Genomic DNA, 27,052 nt, shown 5'->3' on the forward strand with positions numbered 1-27,052 from the left:
GGTGCACTGGAATTACCTGCCACCATGTGTAAGTACGTGTATGCATGGTTGCGTGCATGACTGTGTGTGTGTGTCTGTGTGTGTGTGTGTGTGTGTTTCTTCCTCCCCCTTTATTAAGTTTTTTTGAGCCTAGACGTTCTCTCCCATTGACCAGAGCCCCAAGCACAGCACCCAAATCTGGGAAAAACACTTCTTGAATGATTGGGTGGCAGAATGTGACAGCCTGTGAATGTCACAGTAAATAAGGGAGTTGGCTATTTTACAGTGATGTCTTCTCTAATTCTTAAATTAAGACTGTGCAGAGAAGGAAGAATTGCTATTCCTTGGAAAGATTCAAGAGACTCTGGAGATGCTATGTAGTTTGGTTGCAAGGTGGCTGTCAATCACAAATGCAAGTTGTCACCAGGCAAAATGGCCCTGTCCTGCTGCGTGACCAATCTGCAATCTAAGACTGGCTCATCAAGGTTAGCAGATAAATCAACACAAAAAGAGATGAACATTGCAGGCAGTGCTGATGTCAAACAGAGATTTCATGCATCTGGCAGAAAATTGAGCATATTGGTAAAGCACTAAAGACTTCCTTCATGAAAGTTCTTTGCTCCCTGGTCCTGAAAGGAAAATTAGATTAATGCTCACAAATCCTTCTTGACATCTGAAGGATGGCCTTCTCTTGACAAGGCTCTAGACAGGAAAATGTGAGGAACACCAGCATGGCCTTCCCTTTGCTAGGTATCTAATCTAACCTAGCTTTCTGGAGGCACTTGTTAAGTACTAGATTCTCGCTCTCTTTTTTTTTTTTTTTTTTTTTTTTTGAGACGGAGTCTCGCTCTGTCGCCCAGGCTGGAGTGCAGTGGCGGGATCTCGGCTCACTGCAAGCTCCGCCTCCCGGGTTCACGCCATTCTCCTGCCTCAGCCTCCCAAGTAGCTGGGACTACAGGCGCCCGCCACTACGCCCGGCTAATTTTTTGTATTTTTAGTAGAGACGGGGTTTCACCGTTTTTAGCCAGGATGGTCTCGATCTCCTGACCTCGTGATCCGCCCGCCTCGGCCTCCCAAAGTGCTGGGATTACAGGCGTGAGCCACCGCGCCCGGCCTAGATTCTCTCTCTTAACCCTTGGCATTATTATTATTTTTAGCAGTTAGCTTCAGCAAGTGAAGCACTGCTGATTGGAGATGTGTTTTGTATTCTGACTGTACTTGCAAGCTCTACCAAGTACATTAGCCTTCAAAACATATTTACGATAAAGGCTGAGTGCCTGTTCCTTAAGAGAAACCTGCAGAATGGTCTTTATTTTTCACACCAGCTGCTTCTTCAGATTTGAACATGCCAGACAAATGTTTGATGCTCTTGAATGGTGTTTGAGTAAATTAATTGACACCCACCGACTGTCAAAATGTATGTATTATGTATGTAAATATAAAAACACCTATATGCATGAATATGCAGAGATATGTTTTAAGGGTCATTTTGTGGCTAAAATATTTGAAAATAATAATATAAGTAAAGTATGATATGAAAATTAATCTTGTAGAAAAGTCAGCAGAACCTAATGGAGATTTTAGTGTAGAGAAGAATGTGATTAAGCCACAGTAGATCCAGAATTTTGCTAATGATATAAAGTCCTTATTGTTACCAGCCTCAAGGAAATCCCTGTCTAGTGCATATTCATGGAGAGTGAACGATGAGCTTGTGAAACATGTGAGATGCAAGTACAGAAATGTTGGCCCAACTCTATTAAAAACCAATGTGTCTCATAATTAAGACTCTAAACACCCCCCCTTAAAACTGGCCAAATGTTGGAATGAGCTGGTGCCCGCCGCTTCTTAACTCTTCGCTCCAGTTTTGGGGTCTGTGCCTCATAACCATAGTCACTTTTAACCAATTCTGGTTGCCTCCCTGACAGAACCTGGGATTCTGTGCCATTTCTATGTGTGCCCCTATTTTAGGAACTAGGTCTAAAGTAATTAACAGTTTAGAAGTGATAATCTAGTGAATTAGCTTTTGTGAGGGTTGTTTTATAATAGCACAATTCCCTTGTTCACTGCCTACTCCTCCTCTGCCCCCCTTCTCCACTGCCTTCTCTTCCCTGTCCTGCCCTGTGGATGGCTGCCTGAGTTCTTGCTGGCTAGCCTCTGGTTGGGTTTGTGTCATAGGGGTGGGAAGGAGTCAGGTTACCAGGAGGATGGGACATTGGGAGAAAGTGATTCGTGTATTTCTTACTTGTCTCCAACTCCCCATTTCCCAATCCTTCATTTCCCCATGCCACTCCCTTTTTTCCCCACCTGGCTATCCTTCCCACCCCTGCGTTGATACCATCTTTTTGGAATGACGTTGTCCCTCCATGACTGTGGTTAGCTGGGAAGCCTGTACTTCCCAGCTCCTGCTCTCTCTTGTTGGGCTATGGTTACATTATTCCCCCACACTTCCACCTCTGAGTGTCTCCATGTATCTTGCCTGTATTTTAACCATGCCTGTGTCTTCGTAAGTGGTCCCTTTATCAAATTTCTGCATTTAAAACATCTATGGAAATCCTATTTCCTACCTAGACCCTGATGGTTACACTTTACTTTCTCTAACCATAGCATTCTTCAAACATGAAGGACCACACGTATTTAATATTTAATCATACCATGCTTAAGTTGATACATTGGAATGCCATAGTTCTCATTTCGCTAGCATGCTATTCAAAACTTTATTTGTGAGAGAAACAAAAATAGAAGATGCCATGTAAGATAACATTATGGTCTGGGTTTATCTGCACATGTCAGTACATACCTGCAGAGATAGGATCTTTGTCTATGGAAGCAAACCAGGAAGGTATCTGAATGCCTTGGTTCAGTACCCATCACTCTGGAAATGACTGAATGACTGATGTGCTTTCTAAACATGAGGCAGAGGCTGGCCAAATTTCCTTTCAATCTGGGTGATGAAAGCTAAGATGAGGTAAATGTTGTCACATTGTGTTTACATTCTACTATATAGTATATATGGTATGTATATTTCTATGTATATGATATATATGTTTACCTACACATGTACACAATAGAGAGAGATAATCTCAAATATGAATGGTACTGCTTAAACGCAGTGTTAACTAAAAGAACTGCATTACATAAATAAATATTATGGTTATAAAAGAAAAGAAAAGCCAGAGAGCCTACTCTCATGCTTTCGTTGTATAGCTAAAGTCATAGAAAATAAACATTAAAAAAAAAAAACTAATATTTACAAGACAGCATACAAATGTCTGTAGTTTAATTTGGGTATAAACAAGCTACACAGGTGCTGAAGGAATTGCCTGCAGTTAAGAGAGAAGGTGACTATGCAGAAATAAATTCTAAGACAGGGCTGGCTTCTGCCCTTATGGAAAGGTAAATTAGCCCACTGATACATAATATTAGTGGCCACCAAACCATTGTGACATCTTGAATTTCTTCTTTTTTTTTCTTTTTCTACGGAAGTCTTTACGGGATTGTTAGAACAGCATTGGGGGGTTTGTGAATCATTATTTATTTTGGAGGTATGGAGGGAGGTAGCAAGGAATGAATTGTCATACCCACACATGCCTATCCAGGCTCGGATTTCCTCCTTTACTTCAGGCCATACAGATGATTCCACTGTCCTCTTCTCTGTTCTCTTGAAACTGCCACTGCCTGTTCCATCCCAGGCTTTCTCTCTTAAACCTGGCTGAAGTAAAAGCCAAGATTTCGTTTATTTCCTTCTTACTCTTAAAGAACAAACTCACAGTTACTTTAAGTTTTCAAGGTTTTTTACTAATAAGTATGGTATAATAAAGATTTGACAGATACCACACCAAAGAAGATATACAGATGGCAAGTAAGCATGTGAAAAAATGCCCGACATCATATGTCATAAGGTAAATACAAATTAAAACAACAGAAAGATACCCTTACACACCTATTAGAATGGCCAAAATCCAAAACACGGACAATACCAATTGTCGATGAGGATGTGCAGAAACAGAAACTCTCCTTCATTGCTGGTCTTGGCATAGGGATTGTAAAGCTTAAGAAAATACATTGAAGTCCTTGATCTACTGTCTCTAACCCTTCAAAGGGGGTAAACTCTTTTGTGCGAATACCAAGGTGTGAGATTGCTGGGTAGTGTGATAAAAGTATATTGAGTTTTGTAAGAAACTGACAAACTGTCTTCTAAAGGGCTGTAACATTTTGTATCCCCACCGGCAATGAATGAGAGTCCCTGTTGTTCCACATTCTTACCAGCATTCGGTATTGTCAGTGTTTTGGATCTTGGCCATTCTAATAGATGTGTAATGGTATCTCTTTGTTGTTTTAATTTGCATTTCTCTTATGACATATGATGTTGAGCATCTTTACATATGCCTATTTGCCATCTGTGTATCTTCTTTGGTGGGGTGTTTGTTGAAGTCTTTTGCCAATTTTTAATTGGGTTGTTCATTTATTTATTAGTGAGTTTTAAGAGTTTCTTGTATATTTAGGATAAAAATCCTTTATCAAGTATGTCTTTTGCAAATATTTTCACTCTATCTGTGGCTTGCCTTCTCATTCTATTGATGTTGTCTTTCACAGAGCAGATGTTTTTTAATTTTAATGAAATTTAGCTTATTTTTTTCATAAAGCATGTATTTGGTGTCATATCTAAAATGTCACCAGTATATCCAAAGTTGCCTAGGTTTTATCCTGTTATCCCCTAGGAGTTTTATAGTTCCTTGTTTTAAATTTAGGACTATTATTAACTTTGAATTATTTTTTGTGAAGTGTGTAAAATCTGTGTCACGATCCATTTCTTGCATGTGATTGTCCAGTTGTTCCAGCCCAGTTTGTTGAAAAGACTTGCTTCATTGTAGTGTCTTTGCTTCTTTGTTAAAGATTAGTTGACTATATTTACGAGGGTCTATTTATGGACTCTGTATTGTTTTCCATTGATCTATTTCTCCATCCTTTTGCCAATACCACACTGTCTTGATTACTGAAGCTTTATGGTAAGTCTTGAAGTCAGGTAATATCAGTCCTCTGACTGTTTTCCAATATTGTGTTGGCTATTCTGGGGCTTTTATCTCTCCACATAAACTTTAGAATCAGTTTGTTTATATCCACAAAATAACTTGCTGGAATCTGGGTTGGGATTGCATTGAAAATATAGATTCTTCTTTCCAACTGAAAAGTTGGGAAGAACTGACATCTTGACAATATTGAGTATTTCTATCCATGCACATAGACTATCTCTTCATTTATTTAGTTCTCCTTTGATTTTTTTTTTATCAGTTTTGGAGTTGTCCTCATATAGATCTTTTACATATTTTGTTAGATTTACACCTAAGTATTTCATTTTCAGGTAGCTAATATAGACGGTATTTTGTTTTTAATTTCAAAATCTACTAGTTTATTGTTGGTACATAGGAGAATGTTTGACTTTTGTATATTAACCTTCTATCTTGCAATCTTGCTATAATTGCTTATTTTCTCCAGGATTTTTGGGTCAAACCTGGATTTCCTACATAGACAATCATGTCATCTATGGATAAAGACAATTTTACTTCTTTCTTTCCCATCATTATGCCTTTTATTTTATTTTATTTTATTTTATTTTATTTTATTTTATTTTTCTTGTCTTGCTGCTTTATCTAGGACCTCCATTGTGATGCTGTTAAGTTCCTGGTCTGATAATTTCAATATTCCTTCCATATCTGATTCTGATGCTTGATCTGTCTCTTCAAACTTTTGCTTTTTTCTTTTAGTAAGTCTTGTAAGTTTTTCTTGACAGCCAAACATAATGTACTACGTAGAAGAAAAAAAAGAACGACAATAAATAAGCCTTTAGTCATGTGGTGGTTAGATGTCAGGGGAGGGGAAGTATTATATAGTTATGTGATTAGATCTCAGTCTCTTGGCAACCCTGTACCTCTGAACTGTGAACATCTCAAGTGTTTCTTAGGTCCTCCACCTCTTTTAGGTGGGGCAAGAGGGCTAGAGTAAACTGGAATTAGGCATTTCCTTTCTTCTATCTGGAAGGCTAGAGTGGGCTAGAGTTGAGTATTTCCCTTTCCCCAGGTTGGTTAGGATCTGATAGAACCCCAATAGTTTAGGCTCAGGTGAAATATTTTCTCTTGAAGGCAGGCCTTATTATGACACACAGAATGCTGTGGCATGTTTCAAGATGTTTCTTCTTTTTTCCCTTCCCACTTCTGGAAGCATGAGGGGATTTTTCTCTAATATTCATTGTGAGAACCTGGTCCAGCTCCTGGAGGTAAAAACTCACAAAAGCATGATAGCCCTGGATGAATGGATCCCCTTGGAGTTTCCATCATTCAGACTGGTCCACATGGAGCCTCTAGTAATCCGTCAGTTAGAGTTTAGGCTTTTCTACTCCAGTACTCGTTCCTGCGGAGGCTTCTGCTAAGGGATTTCTGCTCAGATAAGTTGTGATTCTCTGTACCCACCTGTCTGTCTCTCCAGTTTTGGGGACAGCAGTTTGCTCTGTGACCTCACTTCTTCGAAGGATCTAAAGAAAGTTGTTGCTTTCTTTTAGTTGGTTTAGCTGTTCACGTGTTGGCACATGTGTTAGGACAGAGTGACATCTTCCAAACTCCTTGCATGTTGAACCGCCTATATATTGTTATTCTCACTATCTAGGATGTCTAGGAAAGTAAGAAAAAGATCATGTGCTGGCTCTCATTTTGTCATCCTCCTGACTCTTCATTTTCTTTGAGCCTAGGGACAAAAATGAAGGCCTGTTACTTTGTAAGAAGAAAAATGTCACATGTTCATAAGTGAAATACTGAGCAAACATCGACTCGATTTTTCCCTGAGGAATTGCTTCAATCTACACAAAAGCTCCACCTTCCCAAAGAGGTCCATCAAAGTAAATCTCTAACATTTGTGTTTAAATGGATAGTTATTTCTACTATGAGCACATCCTGAACTTCTTTTCCTGCCCCAGCAGGTTTTCCTGGCACATTACAACTCCAGGCTATCTTGTATCTGCTTACTACAGCTCAAGCAGGAGAACAGATTGATTTTTGATGAGAAATATGCCTTTTCTGGGGTTTCCTTATTCTACCACAAACTTGGTCCAGAGCTCATTGTTTGTGAAATACTGTCATTCATTATTAAGACGAACAATGATGCCTGCTGTGGGAAATGTGCATTTTAAAATGCAGTTTTCCTCCTTTAAAATTCTGTGGCTTATTTGGTCTCTTCATTCTCCTGTCATTCGTCAAACACTTGCTATACCCCAAGTGCCTTGCTGTGGTTAAGAGGAATGAGCCAGGTTCTGTCTGTTTGAGGGAAATGGTACATGCATCACTTCCAATTACATTTCTCTAGGCATTTTCAGGAGCAGTAACTTATGTATGGGTAAAACTTAGAAATCCAAAACCAGCCAAGGGGATGTTTTAGGTAGAATAGTAAAAGATCTTGTATGCAATTATTGCATGAATCGCAGTCGATTACTCAGGTCATTCTAAATTCATTTTAGATGATTTAAAGAAACGTATCCATATTACTAGGATGTGGTGAAATCCACTGTATAGCAATTTGGGGAGTTTAAGAAGTTTCCTTTGGGAGTTGATATTATAGACAATGACATGTATTTTATAATTTCTTCAGAGGTTTGGCTATAAACAAGACAGTTTTGTTGAAATCTGTTCATCTACTATCAGTTCCTCTTCCTCAGGAAGAGAATCTGAAAAAAAAAGGTAGGTAATGTCAAGTTCCAGGGGCAGAGAGGGGATAGTGAATCCATACTTGATCTTAAAAATTGAGCCCACCTATACTTCCAGTCATCACTCTGTGGCACATTGAAGAGCATGGAGCCCCCACCTGGTTTTCCAGGCCTACTGTGCACAACAGCATTCCTGTACCTTTAGGCTTTCTTATATCTTTCAGCTTTCTCTCCTTACTAAGCAAATAAGATACATTTAGGGAAGGAGGGCTAACAAGAAGACCTGTAGGGGAGCAAAATGCTTGTGACTTGTGCAGTTTAGTCTTCACAACAAGAGAGAGTAGACTTATCCCCTCTTATATGTTACCGGTGAAGACATTGAGGAATAGAGACCTGTTTTGCTCACTCAGATTGTACTTTTCAGGGGAAGGATTCAATGCCTGGTAGGTCTGACTCTAAAGCCAGGGTTTCTCTTGAACCAGATCTCAGCTCTCTTTGAATTCATCAAATTGGTATGAAGGATTTATTATGCAGAGAATATTTTTACCTTGGACAGATAGTCAGTAATTGAAGCCAGATTCCAAAGGTGGCAAAGACCTAGATAGGAATGAAAACCATCTTCAAGTGTTGTATATCCTCAGAGGGATTTCTGAAACATTGTGTGTTCACCAGCAGCATTAGTTCTCACTCAATGTATCAGTCATATTTTTCCGCATTACAAACAACCTCTAAAACCAAGTAGCTGACAGCAAATAGCATGTATTGTCTTATTTACAAGACTGCGGGTTGGCTGTGGTTTAACTGATCAAGACTGGGCTTGGCCTAACCAAGCTGGACTCTTGGCTTCTGCTGGGCACAGGTCTTTTCCTTCTTTTTCATTTCAGGTACCTGTCTGAAAGGGCAGTAGTTATCTCGGACATTCTCTTTCCATACCAGCAAACACTTTAAAACTTCACATCTGCTCACATACCACTGACTAAAGCAAGTCAGATGGCCAAAGTCAACATTGATGGGGCAGGGAAATATGTTCCACCCAGGGTGGCAGGCTCTGCAAATTCAGATGGCAAAGATAAGCGAAGAATTGGGAACACTTATCTAATCCAGCACTCTCAGAAAGTGATCTAAAAAAGGTGTCACAAGAGTCTAATGGTGTTACTGCTCATGTCAGACTTGAAGCTATGTCCTCTGACTCAACACTGGAATTTTAGGAATGCCTCACTTGATATCTTTTGGAATGTCTTTGAAAATGAGTTTTAGGATGATGTCCTCCAGCAGATTTTAATTATATCATATAATGTACTTTTAATCACAAAATTGTATCCAATTATGTATTATTTTTAATCATAATCTTAGTCCTTCAAATTCTTTTCATCTCTGTCTCAATCAGCAATAGTGTGGCTGCCATTGTATACCCTATCTAAACCATAGAATAGAAGTCTTGCCCACTGGACCACCCTTTTTTAGGCAGATTCCACGTGCTACCAGCGGATGAAGTCAGACAGAACTCAGAATAGAGTGTCATGGCCAAGGTCTGTCTTAAGATTCAAACATGAAAAGGAAAGATTCTCCATGCCAAATGTTCACCTCAGGGGAGCTGAACACTGAGAAGTTTTACAGAGGAATTCCTAGAATTTTGAGGGCAGTTTACAAACTCAGGCCTTCAGGGGGCTTGACTATCACTGAAGAGCAAAAGCCAATAGTCAGGGGATTTGAGGGCTATCTTTCTTTCTTCTACACTAAGATAATAAGGGTGAATGCTGCTGAGACGGTGATGACGTGTTCAGCATGCCTGCCTCTGGAGAATCATGCACCTGTCTGTGCCTGTGAGAGCATAAAAGCTCCATGAGACACAAGTGGTTTACATCCTGGGAGTCAGTAACAAAGCTAAGAGACCCTGTCTGGTGCTGTGTCCCTGAAAGGGGTCCTTCAGTCTGTCCTAGTCTAGGGATCCTAGGACACAGGCCTTTGTCAAAACCCCAAGCCAAGGGGACCTAGCTGTCATTCTCCTAGGTCGTGTTTTTAAGTTGATCAAGGTCACGTGCATGGAGTGTCTAGGCCAGCAGAAACTCCAGAGAGCAGCACAGAAGTTTGTATCCTGCCCTCCAGTGAGAGGGCTTATTCTCATAGGCCTCAGGTGGCACAGAATCACTGCAGGATGCTAGGCAGCCTCCTAGGACACAGGATCAGGCAGGTATTTCTCATGTTCCCAAATGTGGCATGACACCATGTTGAGCACCTATTTTGCTTTGAGCCCGAAGGTGGAAAGGAGAACAAGACAGACAGAGCTCTGTCTCATGGAGCTTAAATTCCAGCAGGGTGGACACACAATAACCAAGCAAACAAAACGGACATCATTTCAGGTAGTGATAAGAGCAGCAAAAGACCCCTGCAATCCAAGGTGAGGAGTTTAGATTTTGCCCATAGTGCAGAGGAAGCCCCACTGGGGGGCTCCTAGCGTGGATGTGACATGGTGTGCTTTATGTTTGGAAAGATCACTAGCTACCAGGACTATGCACCATCGAATGCCACCCATTCAATAAGCAGAAACTGCATTTTCATCTCTCAGTAGATCCCAATATACGCCTTTTCTATTCAAATGTGATGTCCTCAATGAACTCCTTTGATTACCCCTGTAGGGAAAATGTTCTTTTAAAAAAGAATTTCTAAAAACCCTATTCCAGGTGATTCTATGAGATCTTTCATCTCCTGTCTCAGAAGACTTATCCAGGGGTAGCAGGAACAGCTTGCATAGAATAGAATTTGTTTCACGAACCATTTCTCCAGTCATTATTATAATTCCTTAGGCAAAAGATGATTTCAAAAATACCCTCCGAAATAGACACTGGAGCTCATAAGTTTGAGGAGCTGATGAAGCTTGCATAGATTGTAACCTTGTGTCCTATAAAAATGCAGTTCATTTATACCTGTTTTGCAGAGCAGAGGAAACACAACTTGAAAGGAAAACTTCATGTTTTGCAGTTTTTTAAATAAATGAAAGAAAAAGTGTCTCAAGACCAAAGCTGAATATAGTAGAATTTATGGAGTATCATTTGCTTTGGCACACATAATGTCAAGTGAAATGAAAGAATGGTGTGAAGAGATGAGGATGAGAAGAAGTACAGAATTTCCCTTTTCCCTTTTTATATTATGACTAATTCTAGAGGCCCTGCTAGGGACATCAGTGCTAAGTTGAATAAAATAAAGGAAGGGGTAAGACAGGACCATGGGGAAAGAAGCGATGTCACAAAAGTTCTGTAGTGAGCCAGTGGGCCACAAATTTACACGCTCCAGTCATGTCCAGAGTGATGGTACCTAAATGTTCAAGTGTAATTGAGCCATCAGAACTGCCAGCTTTTCTACCTTCTCAAGAGATTCCTTGGGCCCCACACACACTCTGCAATGAAGACATTAAATGGTAGAATGGGTGCTGTCACCTGAGAAAGAGGGTAGCACATCTAATTCCATGGGTCCTCTGGGCATAGCTTATGCAGAAGGCCATGTGTTTGGTGCTCTGAAACAGCTCCCTGCCCACAGGGGCTTCCAATCTGATTTCCTTTCTTTGGGGTTTCAAACCGTGTAACATCCAGACTGGAGTGTCTGACATAGAGGCTTTCTGGTATGTTCCATCCATTCTGAGGACCAACAACATGCCAGGTTCCAGGCTCCAGGCTAGGGTATGGAGGGGGTGTGGGCTGGTATACTGGTCCTGTCCCTTGCTTGAGTCTTCCACGAGCCACTTTTCCTCTCCTGTAAAATGGGAGATATTATATACATTTTGAAGGGAGTTTTCAAGGTTTGATTTATTTTTTGTGGAAGCCAGAGGTGGTTTGGCTTCTAAGAATAGCCTAGGCTCCCACCCATGCCCACCACAGCATATCATTACTTTCTCTTCAAGCAGATGCAAGTCCAAACTGCCTTACTGGGTTATATTGAGTCTATTAAAACTGCATGACAAAGTCACACCATACTTTGCACACCTCTTGGCATTTCCTTCCTTCCTTCCTTCCTTCCTTCCTTCCTTCCTCCTTTCCTTCCTTCCTTCCTTTCTTCCTCCCTCCCCCTTCCTTCCTTCCTTCCTCCCTTCCTTCCTCCCTTCCCTTCCCTTCCCTTCCCTTCCCTTCTTTCTCTCTTTCTTTCTTTCCTTCTTTCTTTCTCCTTTCTTTCAACAGGGTTTCACTCTGTCACCCAGGCTGGAATGCAGCCTCCAATTCCTAGTCTCAAGCAATCCTCCCATCTCAGCCTCCTGAGTAGCTGGGACTGCAGGCATGTGCCTGGGTGATTTTTATTTTTTAATTTTGTAGAGATAAGATCTCTCTATGTTGCCAAGACTGGTCTAGAACTCCTTGGCTCAAGCAATCCTCCTGCCAAAACATCCCCAAATGCTAAGATTACAGGCATGAACCACCGCACCTGGCCTTGGGAGTTTTCAATATAAATCCAAATTAATTCTGTTGAGGTGATCAGACCCAACACCAGGTCATGGGGGCGACGAAGTCCACCGGAGTCAAAGGAATGAGAAAAAGTTTGAGAGAGAAAGTGGGACCAGGGAGCCATCACGAGTGGGGAGGCTACGAAGGTCCCGAGCTCTGGGAGCCAAAGAAACAGGTAGTGAGGATGTGGGGGTTGAAAGGAAGCAGTGTATCAAGTGAATGAGAAACATATGGCTACTTGAGCTAATGGGAGTGATAGAAGCAAGGAGCCAGCAAGTCTAGCAGATATGCAAGCCCTACCTCAACTTCTGTCCCAACACTCAGCTTTTCTCCCAACAAATTATCTTTGCCTCTTTCCCTCAATACAGTAAAGTCCAATTACATTGCTGTCCATTTACAGAGCAACTCATCTTCCTTTTTCTTTTCTCTTCTACTTTCCATTGTATTCTTATGAAAATTAAACGAGGTAACACAGATAAATGCTACTAAGTAGAGTGACTTATACATAATAATTGCTCAGTAAATGCTAACAGCAGCGGCACTAGCAGCAGTTTATTATTATTTCAAGATTGCTGTCTTGTCTAGTGAGCCAGGTGTGCATGCCAATGTGTGCCTGGACTAGATGACCTTTATACTCCCCGAAGTGAAATATTATGTTACCGTCGTGCTGACAGCCAGTGAGCTCCCCAACTCCTCCCCAATTAATTAGCTATTTTATAGAACATTTCTCTACTGTGCATGTGCTAGAGGTTACAAGTAGAATACAGTGGAGAAGGGGTGATCGCAAGATCAGACATGACACCTCATTGTCTCAGATTCATCAATACATTTTGACAGCTGTCATGGTTTGACTACCCCCAAAAAGCAGATTTAAAGGCAGGGGTTTGTGTGTAAGTTGTTAATTTGGGAGGTGACTTTTGGAAAGAGAGACAAAGAAAGGAAGCAAATAAAGAATGCATTATCATGGGATTTGCCACTGTGGGCAAGTGGAGTGTGAGCTCACTGAGCAACTCTGGGAAACTATAAAGCACACACCTCAGCATTATCCCCTGAGGGGTGAGGGAGCTGAGGTGTTAGTTAACCCAACAACTCTCAGTAATCATTGGTTGAAGAATGTTTTGGGGGTGCCTTGTTCCCTGGTCCTTTAGACCTGCCCTACATGTGGCAAAGTGAGCTCTGGCCACCAGAAGGAGCCCTTGGGTAAAAGGGGCTGGCACCAGAAGGAGCCCTCAGGTAAAAGGTTTAAGTCAAAGCAGCTTGCAAGGACACAGCATATGCCAAGAAGATACATGCAGTGCATCGTCAGCATCTGCTCTTGTTACCCAACTTATGAATATGCCATGTTATGTGTATAATACTCATATACCAAAGCCAGATCACAAAACAGCTGCAACTCCACTCTCTTAACGACAGACTGTGGCCACCTCACCCTTGCCTACTAGGTGCCCCTTTGTGCTCCTGGGCGAAGCCAGTGACACCTTTTTAGCATTCTGCTGCTGTGCTCACTGCAGTAATAGGGGCAGTGTCACTCTTATTACTTCACCTGTTTTATCTTTTGTGAAACTCAGCCCTTAGCCAGAATGGTCTGAGTGGCTGGTCTAGCAAGTGCTTAACGGTGAGGCTCCTTCAGCTCATTTCTCTCAAGTAATTTGATTTCATTGCACTATCAGAATTGCTTTTATGGGTTGGAAGGAGGCCTAGGGGGAAGAGGTTGACAAAAGCTGTTTTGAGATTAAAAAAAAAAAATGTATTGCCCAGTACCTGCCATCACATCCTCCATCTACACCCTCCAATCTCTCCTCCCGTGCATGGTAGGGTGTGCGTGTGTGTGTGTTCAGGAGAAATTAAAATAACAACACACAATGCATCTCACATTTGTATTTCTTTTCACCTGAGCTTGAAAAGTATACTGTTTGATTTCCTGTGATCCCCACAACAGAACTTGTGTGCTAAGATGGAAAAATATTATGGCTATGTTCTCTGAAATTATCAAGCAAAGTGTAATTTTGCATTGACAGTCAATGTTGACAATCCCTGTTCAACTGATGTCAACATATTGATCAACCCAGTGATACATCCTTCTCACTCAGGACAATCATAGGTTTCTATCAGTGCTGAAAGTCTCACGTTTGATAACTTCATAATATTTTTATTTTGAGGGTGTGCACGTGAATAAAAATAACACGGTGCCATGCTTTCCTCATTAAAGAGTTGGCAGGAATAGAGAGCTCAGAAGTGGATGTGAATTTCATGTGCAGAGTTCAAGGGAGTTTGATTTTTTTAAACTGCTGCTCCTAACTTCTGGATATTTATAACAATACAGTACCAATTTAGAGCTTTTAGTTACTTGGAAGGCTGGTTAGTATAGCAACTACTTTCTAAATAATATGCAGTCTACACAGGGATTTATGATTTCATAAAATTGCTGGTGTTTTATCACAGCTTTGGGCCCCATGCTCGGCTGGGTGGGGTGAGGATATGGATGAAAACCCTTTGAGGTTAAAACCACCACAAAATACATTTTTCAGCTGAAAATAAAATGATTGAGTGCATAAAGAATAGTTTTTAGATTTGTGAGTTTCGCCTGGACATTGGTCTCTAGAGCGCTGCCTTCTTACAAACTGCAAGAAAGGCAGTTAAAGCTGAGGTGAGACCTGGCAACAGATCTAGAAGGGGATGTTGACGGAAGCCCTGGGCAGACTCTGAATGGTGCATGGGGTTAAGGTTTTAAAGCCTGGCTTAAATATACCAAATTATTATTATACCAACATTATGTTCAATTTTATTTTAATTTTTTTCTAGTGAGAACCTCCTTGAAATGATTGATTTAAAGTATCACCATATGCCTTTCTATGATATGGTAATCTATAGCCCCAAATAGACTTTCATTTTAAAGTTTAAAACAAAAGCTAATCTGTTGCTTCTGACTCCAAAAAGGACAGTTTTACTGGCAGAGTAAGTCATGTCTATCTTTATTTTAGTGGAATATGCTAGAGTTCTAGTAAACATATTTGAATTTTATATCAGGTGAACAAAATTAGTTTCTACATGACAGCCTTTGGACAAAGTTAAAGATAATAGGGAAATATCAATAACAGTAAAAAATAAAAAGTAAATAGAGAGGAAAATTGTCCCCAGCAAAGTGAAAACCAGATTTACTGTAGCTGCATTGGAACCATTCTGGGTTTTCAATAATTCCAACAAACATACAGTTTAGACATGGGGTAGAATCTTCAATGAGTCTTTATTGCTATGTCTTTCTGTAGTGAAATTTGATGAAAAGAAACATTGGCTTAATAACCAAGTGAAAGGAAAATGTCCACCTAATGAGTTATTTGATGTGCTATGGATGAAAACAACTGTAAATTCAACTTGCTGTTTCACTTCTGTCTCTTTTATTTAAATTGTCTTGATGGTCTGCTGACAGAATTGGTCCTTTCTTGGCTTAGGAACATCACTGCTTTGCAGCGAGAAGACAGGCAAATCATAAAACTTGTCTTGGCTTCTAGTTATAAAAAGTATTGACTAGCCTAAAGCTATCTTTAATAGCTTGAAATGTGGTCAAGAGAATTTAATTAGAAAGTACATCTCAACATGCTAAATAAATAGATCAGCAGAGATTATTAAAACACATCATTTTACACTTTCATATACTTCTGGTGGGAGTGTTATTGGCACAGCTGCTTTGGAAAACTGGCAGAATCTCCCAGAGTCAAGCATAACATGGAGTCCAGCAGCCCTTCCTCCTGGATATATACTCAACAGAAACACATGCTTATGTCCACCAAGACATGTATGAGAATGTTCATGGCAGCTTTATTCATATTAGTGTCAAACTGGGAATAGTCTAGTTGTTCATCAACACTCGACTGGATAAACAGATTGTGGAATATCCATACAATGGAATGCAACACTACAATGAAATAAGCTACTGTTATATGTAACACCATGGGTAAATCAGGCAGGCATAATTTTGAACAAAATATAGACAAAAAAGAACACACATTATATAATTCATATATGTGGAGTATAAAAACAGACAAAACTAACCTTTGATCATAGAAGTCAGAATAGTGGTTATTTTGAGGGCTGGGCATTGACTCAGGACAAGGCAGCTTTCTGGGGTATTAGAAGTATCTTATACCTTGAGCTGCATAATGGGGTGTGTGTGTGTGTGTGTGTGTGTGTGCGCGTGTGTGTGTGCGCGCGTGTGTGCAGTATATAAAATATTTGCAAGCACTTTCAATACAAAAGTAAATAAGAAAAAAATCATTTATTTATCGTATAAGTCAACTTTCACATTTACAACAAAAGTTAATTTTATGAATCTATGCTAATGAGTAGAAAACTAAGCTTTGGAATGCCAGTAGAAGCACAGAATCTGTGTGCACCTGGATACACACACATGCAACTCCCTGCATGCCTGACCCTAAATTATTCATGGCTTGTTCAGCCTCATTGACCCTCATACTTGGAAGAAATTTCCCATGTCATCTAATTCAGTGATTCATCTGAAGCTTGTCTGTAGCCTCCCCTCCGGGTGGCCATTCTACTTTTGTGAACAAAAGTCCCCTGGTGACCAGAATATGTTGTGATGTTCTGAGGAAGGCCTTTTTCTCTTGGAAGTCCATCCCTAGGCTAAAATCTGTCTTTGTCTATTCATTGGTCTTATTTATAACCCCGGAGGTCTTGTAGTTAAGTGGAGAAAGAATTGTCCTGTTGCTGTTTATCCTGAACATCATGCTTTACCTTGTATATCCATGTCCACTGAAAGCAGGCATATTATCAGGGATATTCATCTTGATATTTTTCTCCCCTTTTAATTAATCACAAAACATCTTCCTATGAGGAACTAGATTTTCACATAAATCTCTATATTTTTCCCCAGGGATGAAAAGGGATATTCTGAATATAACAATCTGTTGAGTACCTTCTCAGCATCCCTTCCTCCTCCCCATACTCTAAGGCTAAACACCCCTGTGCTCCCAGGAGTGAGCCTTTTCCTGTTGTCAATATGTACAAAGATCCACAAGTCTGTAATCCAGTCAGTCATTCAACACCTAGTTATTGATCATTCTCTATGTGCCAGCAATGTTTTAGGTATCCAGTGATAAGCAAAGACAGATGTGTTATCTGCCTCCCAGGGTTTTCACTCTATTAAGGTTATTAATCACATATTTACATAAATAAATGCAGAACTGCAACTGTGATGGGTCTGTGAGGTAAAGGTACATGGTATTATGAAAACACAACATAGGGAGTCATCAGTGTCAGAGAAGCCTTTCCTGAAGAAGTGATCACCTGGCAGAGGACAAATAAAATGGATATACACTAGGAAAAAAGGAGGAGAAATGTCATTTCAGAAAGAGGAAAGAGCATGAGCAAGGCCTTATGACAGGAAGGCAAAATAAAAATACCACATTCAAAGACCAGAAAGAAGGCCAGTGTCGTTGCAGTGGAGGAAACAAAGAGCAATGCAACATGAGATGAGACTAGAGAGACAAGAAAGGGCCAGCTTATTCAGGGGAGAAATGTTGCCACTAACTTGGGGAGTGGCTTGAAGCTAGAGTCGGCTTCAAATGATTGTGATGCTTGTGATGCTTGTGAAAGAGTATTCCTTGGAAAGTAGCTGAGCAAACAAACTAACGAGAAAACAAGTTTTGAGAGAGCTGTTTAAATCAGTAACTTTGAATCGGGAATGTTGCATCAAGGTCCAGGGCACGATCCATGGAGGAAGTTGTTGTGGAAGATGAGCGGGTCAATGGACTGGCTAAGCGCGGGGTGGGTCACTCTTGTGGATGTTGAAATCACGTGGGGTTACAGCAAACCTTGAGGTTAAGATGAAAACCATAACTCAATGCCAGATGCTCTGATGAATATGAGAGAGTGACCAGGAGGTCACAAATAATTGAGAACTGACCATAGTTGCCATGGTTCTATGACAACTTGTATAATTTCTCTGTGGGGAATTATGTCTTCTAAAGGTGAATGTTAATACTGATGGTCATTGCAACTGAGTGTGATTGCAGTATTTATTCGTTTTTTATAGCCCTATAATTTTATGATGTAAGTACTTATTCAACATACCTAACATTTGGAGAAGAATTTTATGAGATGAGAATAAATAAGAGAAGACTGAGAAATAAATCTAGAAAGGCCCCCTGGGGTCATTGGAATGTGTAACACAAAGCTAAGGTGCCTGTGTTTATTCTGTGTTGGAGAGTCAACAAAGGCTGCCTCTGTTTTGTGTAAGGTTGAGGTGTAATGCTAACTATGCCTATGCCTAGGAAGAATCACTTGAAAGTGGCTTGCAGGATAGATTGGAGAAGGGAAGGAAGACCAAAGGAGCACAGCTGTCAACTACAGTTGTCTGGGTGAGGGCCGATCAGACCTTGAATGAAATCAATGGGAAAGGGAGGAAAGGAAGGGGCGGTGGAAAATAGTTCAGAGGGACAATGCCTTTAGGACTTGGTTACCAACAGGGGAGTCCGTCAAACATGGCGGTAACTAGGAGAGAGGTAAAGCCATAGACAGAAACCAGAAAGCCAGGGATGACATTTGTTTTAGGTAGGAGCATGTATTGCATTGCTGGTGCTGAAGTGTATTAAAGGGAAGTATCCAGGCGATTATAAATCTAGATGTTAAATTCAGGGCAGAGATGGACTGAAAAGGCCTCCTATGGTTAATCCCCTAACAGGAAATGCCCATCCTGGCCTCCTTCTCCTTCTTTTTTTTTGAGACAGAGTCTTGCTCTGTTGCCCAGGCTGGAGTGCAGTGGCATAATCTTGGCTCACTGCAACCTCTGCCTCGCAGGTTCAAGCAATTCCCTGCCTCAGCCTCCCAAGTAGCTGGCATTACAGGTGCCCGCCACCACGTTTGGCTAAGTTTTGTATTTTTAGTAGAGATGGGGTTTCAGCATCTTGGCCAGGCTGGTCTTGAGCTCCTGACCTCGTGATCCTCCCACCTCGGCCCTTCAAAGTGCTGGAGTTACAGGCGTGAGCCACCGCACCTGGCCGCCTCCTTCTCCTTCTTTGCAGCTCACCCGTACTCTCATTCTGCTTTTCTCTCCCGTTCATTTTTCCTAACCTTTCCCATTGATTCCTCGGGACTCACAGCTTATTTCTGAGAATAATGTCTCCTTGGTTCCCCATTTTACAGCCCTCTTCCTCAAATATTCTATTATTTCCTGCAAGCCTCACACTTCTTTCTAACTTAGTCCTCTTTATCTGTGTCCACATACCCCTAATACACTTGTCATGCTGCATTTTGTTTGCCTCTTTACTTGTCTATTTCCTCCCCTAGACTTTGGGCTTTTAGAGGACAGGGACTCATTAAAAGTATGACATAGCTACTCGTGTGGGGTTCAGTAATACTTTTTAAATAAATTAACTGACAATTAACTTTAAAGAAAATTTAAGAGTTTTACATTTTGGTGCATTCATTTAAAGAAAACGAATAGGATTAAACAATTCATAACAAATGCACAATCCCAAATGTGGTAGACATTGCAAAGGTTCAAGAACTTACGCACATTTTCTGTATAACAGTCATTGTCTCTAAGAAAAATTAAGCTTGGCTCTGATTTGTTTTGTCCCCTTTCTTAATGAACTCTCTAGCAAAGCCTGTAGAAACCTAATCAGGAAAGCAACACATATTCTTGGAAATGGGGACAATATCTGTCTTTTTCTTGTCCTCTCACTCATTTTTTTTCTGAAGACGTACTGAGATCTGAACCATCAGTTTGAACTACTAGAATACATATTTGCCCTCCAATAAAACTGGGTCTTTTAAGTCTTGGTTCTCTCCATTTCCGCAACGTCTCTCTCTTTCTGCGTCTGTATGGAAAATGTTCCAGGAGACTCTGGACCAGAAGATATCCTCATAGACAAGCCGTATAAGGAAAAAAAGAGGGCTGAGTTTAGGATGCTGGGAATGGCACACATTTAATGAATGCCGCTAGAAAGAAGCCAGGAAAGAATTGGTCAAACAGGAAGAATAAGACGTGGAAGAAGGCAGGGTTGAAAAATTCAGGAGAAGAAGTCACACATTCATCAAGACAGAAGTAGATTAATGGTTACCAGGGGCTTTGGGTGACAGATTGGGGAGTGACCGTTAATGGGTACAGATTTTTGTTTTGGGATGATAAAAATATTCTGGAATTAGTGATGATGGCAAGACTTTAAAAACATGGTACAAACCACTGAATTGTAAACTTTAAAACAATAAGTAATAAAGTTTAAAAAATAAAAATTCTGTGAGAGGAGAATAAAACATAAAAAAACTAGTCAAACACATCTAACACTAGAGAGCTTGAAGATAAATTGAAAGGTGATGGGATTTGGTGATTAGGAAGGCAGTGGTGAGCTCAAAGAGCGTAGTTTCAGTAGCATAGTTACTCCTATCTCTTCTGCTTCCTGCTCTGTAAATATATACATTGATAAGGTTATTCCTTCACATACCATCACTATTGGCAGAATGTTTGATGACTCTGCAGGTCCAGGAATGTGTTTGGTTTAGATCAGCTATGGTGACATTCTGAATGTGTTTTGGAGACTCTGAGCATGTACGCTTCTGCTCTTTGGGACAAAGCATAAGTCTGTCATTCTTGCTGCCCTTCTAAAACCAAACCTATGCAACAAGACCTGATTATCTCATGCTGTCTCAATTCCAAGCATCACCTCTGATGGCCCCAAGTGAAACAGGAAATACCCTCTTTGAATTCTGACAATAAGTTTCTGTGGTATGTTTCATTGGTGGAGTTCTGCTGGCCTTGTGACTGGCAGAACTGACCCTGGACTAACTGCATGTTTTCTCTGAGACACATGTACTTTTTTTTTAAGCTGAGGATAATAAACTTTAATCTGAGCACTTCTTACAAGAAAATAATATGAAAGTATATTGTAATCTATTATGCATATGTAAATATGTTTTTAATTGATATTGTTATAAGATTAGAGACACAATTAAATTATTTATTGTCTTTTTGTTTTTTAAACTCTGTACTGGTGTAGGACCAGCCTTCTTAATGCCTGTGTGTAGGATCACAGGCTTCATATCCATGTACATCTTACTGAGGCCTGTACTTATTGGTTGAACTGAATGTTGTTTAAATGAGAAAACTCCAGTATCATAGCGTGATTAGCCTCCCTTTTGCCTTCATCTTTCGTTGTTCATTTGTTTTTTCCTGCTCTTCATCTAGGCTTTCCCAACGAGCCTGCTGCAGTCATTGCCCTCAACACCATTAAGGAATGGCTTGCCAAGAATCACCATGAGGTAGGAGGAACGACATAATCAGTGAACATCCAAGATGATGTAATTTGATGCTCAGTTCCCCCCAAAAAAGCACATAAATTTTATAAATATCAACTACACCTAGTCATTGAGCCAAACCTAGCTGACCATTCTTCACTTGGGTTACATGAGTAATTAAATGTTTTTTGGTAATTGATAGAATGCAGCAACTCTATTGATCTATCTGGTGAAGTGACCAGATTCATTTAGCCATAATCTAATTTTTTTACATTGGTGGATAGTATGGGTTATATGTGTGAAAAAGAGAAGGGGATGGATTTCATTAAGAATAAGGAGTTTTCCTATGCTATTTTCCTTAAAGCTAAGTTATCTTTGTTGACTTGAGGTTCCTGGTGTACAGTAATTGTCTGGTATCTGTGTTCTTTGGATTTATAACTAATCACTTCCCTAAAGTCACTTCTGAGTGTGAGATTGAAGTGGGCTTGTATAATTGATCACAAAATCGTTATGAGCGGGATTTCTTATGAAACTAAATACCTTCATCAGAGTATTCATCATCCTCCTATTCTGCTTACTTAATAAGATCTTTGTGATACGTTTAGTGATGAATAGGGGAATTACTCAAGTAAACAAAGCAGCAAAATAACTAGAGACCGTGGAGCGTTAAATTTCAGAGATTTGTCAGTTTACATATTGTAACAGCTAGGAGGTTTCAGGCAATGCACAGTCTTATGCATTTTTCTTCTGATTTTGTTTTTCTCCTCAGTTATTCACATAAGGGCTATAAAAATTGTGTTTCATTTTCTGATGGACCATGAATTTAGCTATTTTCCTTGGGTAGGAGATGAATTATTTGGAAATAATTAGATATGGAAACAGGTGACGGGGTTTTCAAATGAGAAAGCACTTGGTACTTTTGTGTGTTTGAAGAAACAGCAGTGTCATTTTCTAATTATTGTAATTTCGGCATTTGTTGACCACGTGGCCAAACCTATCCATTTGGGTGCTTACCCTTTATTTTCTTCTTACTTTGAAATGTATAAATATGGCAACTTCAATTTAAAGGATATCTTAAATCACCTAAAAGAAGCAGGAGAAAAACAAATAGCTAAAATAGCCAGCTTACAAAACATGTCTTTGACACATTTTATTTTCTTTTCACAACAACCTTATGAAATCTCTAGGGTAGGTATATGTTATCTTCATCTGCATTTGCCTTCAAAAGGTTAAATGACATACTCAAGATTGGAAAGTCACAGAGCCAAGAGACTAATCCAGCTCTCATAACTCACTGGACGTTCCTCATTGGAATGCCACCAAGGCCAGAAAGAGAAACTCAGTTCCTTTAAAAGCCAGTTATCTTCAATATATTGCTTGGTCATAGTAAATGTTCCACACCTGGATTAACTGCTTTGCAAAAGTGTAGCATGTTGCATGAGTGAAAGTTGATAACTGAGCAAGCGTATCAGTGCATATCCATCATTTCCACTAGAATAGTAATCCAAGGATATGCCCCACTGGAGGAAGTTTTCATGCATCATCTTGGGATGTGATGGACATATGCATAAAGTCATATCATCGAGGATGTAGTGATGAAGAATAAACATGTTGGTCACAGGTACATCTCATCAACAAATTCTACTCATTGATTCTCTCTAGCTAAATTATTCAGAAAGTTATTTTCCATAGAAATTTTCTAATCTAGTGTTTTCTACTTAATTCACTTGCCTACCCTATCTTTGAGTCCATTCTTTTGCTTTCATATCCTTTTATTTTTCTGCTAATTTCTTGGGTCCATTGTAGAAAATATAGATAATTTGGATTGAGAAACTCAGTTATTGCTATTGCAACTGTAAACATATCCTGTACTGATTCCCTTTTAAAAAAGACCCCTAGTTTCAATATTCTAATTTAAGCAAGTCAATTTGAACATATCAGGTTTTTCTAAATAAATGAATTATAATTGGTAGGTCTTAGATAAAAGCTAAATAAATTGATTAGCAGTATTTTGATTTATTTTTTCCTCTGTTAAAACAAACAACAGACTAGGTTAAGGACTTATAAAAGAGTATTGCTTCTAATTGTTTTCTCTTCATTGCAGTATTATTTTGATGTTCTGATTGGTTAAGCTACTTATTCATTAATTCACTCATTTGATAAATATTTATTGACTCCCCCTAAGCAACAGATACTTTTTTATATTCCAGGGACAGAGCACTGAAAAACAAAATCCTTGCTTTGTCATATTGGTAGTCTAGAAAAAAAAATTATGTTTGCTTAACATAAATTAAGCAAATAAAAAATAAAGAAATAGGGAAGTTCAAAGAGTGCTTTACAAAATAAAACAGGGCAATTGGAGAATGTGTTTTTAGGTAGACGTGCTGAGGACGTAATCTTGGAATACAGATTTGTACAATGGGAAGGAGGAAGCCAAGCCATACAGAGGTCTTGAGTTAAAACATTCCACACAGAGAGAACCATAGGAGAAAAGCCTGGAAGAGAGAATGAGCTCACTGCTTGCTAGCAATGATGAGACCCAATGTGGTTGAAGCAGAGAGACGAAAGAATGGCAGGAGACAAGTTTGGAGAAATAGACAGAGTCAGATTATAGGGTCTTGTGGTTCATAGAGAGACTGTGAATTTTATTCTAGTGGGTAGTTGTTGAAGTGTTTTGGGTAGGAGAATAACACATATAATTCACCTTTTAAAAACAAGCCTGGCTGCTCTTCCGAAAAGGATATCTTATATTTATAAGATATCAGAGTAGGAAATGGCAGACCAATTAAGAGGATGCTGCAGTAAATCCAGGCAGGAGATGAGGGTGCTCTGGAATACAGTGATGGTAGAAAAGGAGGTAACAAGCGTCAAGTTTGGGGTACACTTTGATGATGCAGCCAATAGGACTAGAGGATTGTTTTCTGTTAGGATAGGGTTATGCTGCAGTTACAAACTACCCCCAAATCTTGGTATCACAAACAGCAAAGGTATGTTTCTTGCTCACACTGTTTGTACGTCTTGAGTCAGCAGAGGGAACTGACTTACAAATCCGGGCTGACAGATACTTTACCATGTGAAATATCATCTATCACATGACAAGAAAAGATAGATAATCAATTCCCTTGTAGAAATGTTTCTACAAAGGAATGATGTATATAACTTTCACTCACATTTCATTGTCCAGAAAAAGGCACCCAGGGACTAAGTTCCAGGAGACAAGAAAATGCAGCCTTTTTGTATGTTCAGAATAGAGCAAACTGAATATTGACAAAAATTAGTAATGTCTGTTATAAATGTAAATCAGATGTGATATATGACAAAAAGAGAAGAATCAAGGATGACAACTAAATTTTTGGCCTGAGCTGCTGGGTAAATTTTGGTGCATTTACTGAGATGAAGAATATTGGTATAAGAGCATGTTTATATGAAAAATATAAAGAAGACAAGAATTGTGTTGCCATGCTACAGATAGTTAAGTCTGAAATGATTTTAGATATCTAATGAAGATTTCAAATAGACAATTGGCTCTTGGAGCCTAAAGCTCAAGATAGAAGTAGGAAAGAAAGACCGGGTGATATTGATCAGATTACCATAACTTTAACTTGGGTTCGGCCTCAGTTTGAGATTGCTTGCAAGAAAAAGGAATATAGTCAAACTAGCTTACATAAAGGAGAATGTGTTGTATAAGTGAACTACATTCTTAAAAAAAGTCTTGAAATCCAAGGGCCGGAACTAGAGAGGGGTCTCATGAATTATAGAATCCCAAACTATAAATCCAATAAGAACCAAGGTAGCTCATTTTCATTCTCTCCCACTCCATCTCTATCTCTCCCATGTCTCTGTTTCATTATTATTATCATGTTGCATGTTATCTTTTATTCTCATTCACCTGCTTACGCGTGGCCCCATCATGACTGTGTCTGTCCATTCATGGGTCAATCAGCCCTGCTTGAGGCAAGGCCTGGGTTCAGTGGATAAGGTTGCATTTTCTGAAGCTCTTAGCTGGTGAGGTTCCCCCAAAATTTTCCTTTAAAAAACAAAAAAGAGGAATCTATGTAATGTGAGTCTCCCATCAGTGCTCATGCTTTTCTTATTCAGCTGAGTTTATTATTCAACATTCACAAATTTCATAGTTTGTGGCTATCATTCCCCATAAATAATTGAGGCTGTCATATAATTGATGAGCTTTTACATTTCACCATTAACTTACTCTCTGATTTCTAAACCATCAGGAATGTGCACTTTTTCTTTCCCAACACAGTAGTTGATTTGCTTATGTTTAATTTCATAAATCACCGCCAGCTGGTGTAGCTGGATACTTCCACACCCAGAGAGGTCTGACTAGAGTCCCAGTGGTCAGGAGGGGGAAAATCATATTCTGTTGCCCACCATCCACTTGTTTAATTTACCCAAAGTCTGAACTCCAAGGGCACAGCATATATTTAAGAGGACTCAGAAACCCGAGGGGAGGAACGCTGCTGCACACACAGCACAGTGGCTCAAACAGTGGCAGCTCTAGCAGAAGAGCTAAAGCAGCACTTTAACAAAAAGAAAAGAAAAAAAGGAGCATTCTCAAAAGGCTGTAATTGAGGCACAAAAATGACTTAGAACTGAAAAACATGATGACTCTTGAGTTGAAAATCTTAAAAAAACAAAAAAGAATATTCACTACTGAGAACCGAATTATTGCTATGAGAAGATCAGATAGATGAATTATCTCACAACACAGAAGAGAAATACAAAGAAATGACAATCATGACTGAAGAGGTAAGGTGGCAGAGAAACCCAGGGATCAAACATGAGGCAGGCAGGGTCTGAAGATTACCCACTGGCATTTTCAGCTAAATTAAGTATTAAGAACTTCTGAGTTCAGAAAACCAAAAGAAAAGAATATCAGAGTTGGCAGTAAAAATTGACAGCAGGTAGCATGATAACCTTTCTCTAAGTGCACCATTTTTCTCAAGTAGTAACTTTATTACAGAAATAGGTGAGCAAAATAAGGGACTGTTATGGAAATGAACAGTAGAAATGTGGCCTAGATTTCTAAGTTGGGGTGGCTGCTCTGTGTTATCAAATGCAATTTCATGCATTCCTTATTTTTCATGCAATCTAGAAATATAATTCTTTGCGGAATAGGTATTTCCCCACTCTGCAGCTCTGAGACCCCCTGCTCATATCTGAAAGTTAGCCTAAGAAATGTTTTTACAGTGCCTGTTCTATTGTTCTACCCCAGGGACTCATATGGCATTTGGCTATTGGTCTCTGAGACAATGCACATATTTGCCATTTTTTCCACAGAAAAGTAGAACAGGATGCATTTCACCCTTCAGAGCCACAAATGTCCTGATATTGTGAGACATTTCCAAGTCATGGTGGTCATATTCAATATTTCAGATACCCCAAGGGAGCAAGCATCCTACAGCACATAGCACCATGTGTTCGTTTTCCCAGGAAGTCCTGCTAGTCAGGGAATACGGCTTCTAAGATGACGATTCTGAGCTGGAGGATCAGTGGATTTCCCAGGAACTTTTAAATGTGGAACCCTAAAGTACTGATCAAGGATTAGTTGTAACATGAAGGAAACCTGAACCCCTCTCCTCCTACCATCAATTATAAAGAAGCAGATAGATGGACAGAAACCCAGCGTTCTAGGAGGCTCTAGGTAAAGCTGTGGCCACCTGCAGCTATCCAAAGGGGAGCCCCTGGT

General features: G+C 39.8%; 1 protein-coding gene across 5 annotated transcripts in view; it reads left to right on the top strand.

Moving 5' to 3' along the window:
• MACROD2 (mono-ADP ribosylhydrolase 2) overlaps positions 1-27,052 on the top strand; it is a 2,057,682-nt gene that overhangs the window by 1,482,963 nt on the left and 547,667 nt on the right. For all 5 annotated transcript variants that reach the window (NM_001351661.2, NM_001351663.2, NM_080676.6 and 2 more), the window contains one exon: positions 21,296-21,369. In NM_001351661.2, the coding sequence (NP_001338590.1) occupies positions 21,296-21,369 (74 nt within the window). The remainder of the gene's footprint in view (positions 1-21,295; positions 21,370-27,052) is intronic.

This window comes from Homo sapiens, chromosome 20, assembly GCF_000001405.40.
Source record: "Homo sapiens chromosome 20, GRCh38.p14 Primary Assembly".
In the NCBI taxonomy this organism is placed as follows: Eukaryota; Metazoa; Chordata; class Mammalia; order Primates; family Hominidae; genus Homo; species Homo sapiens.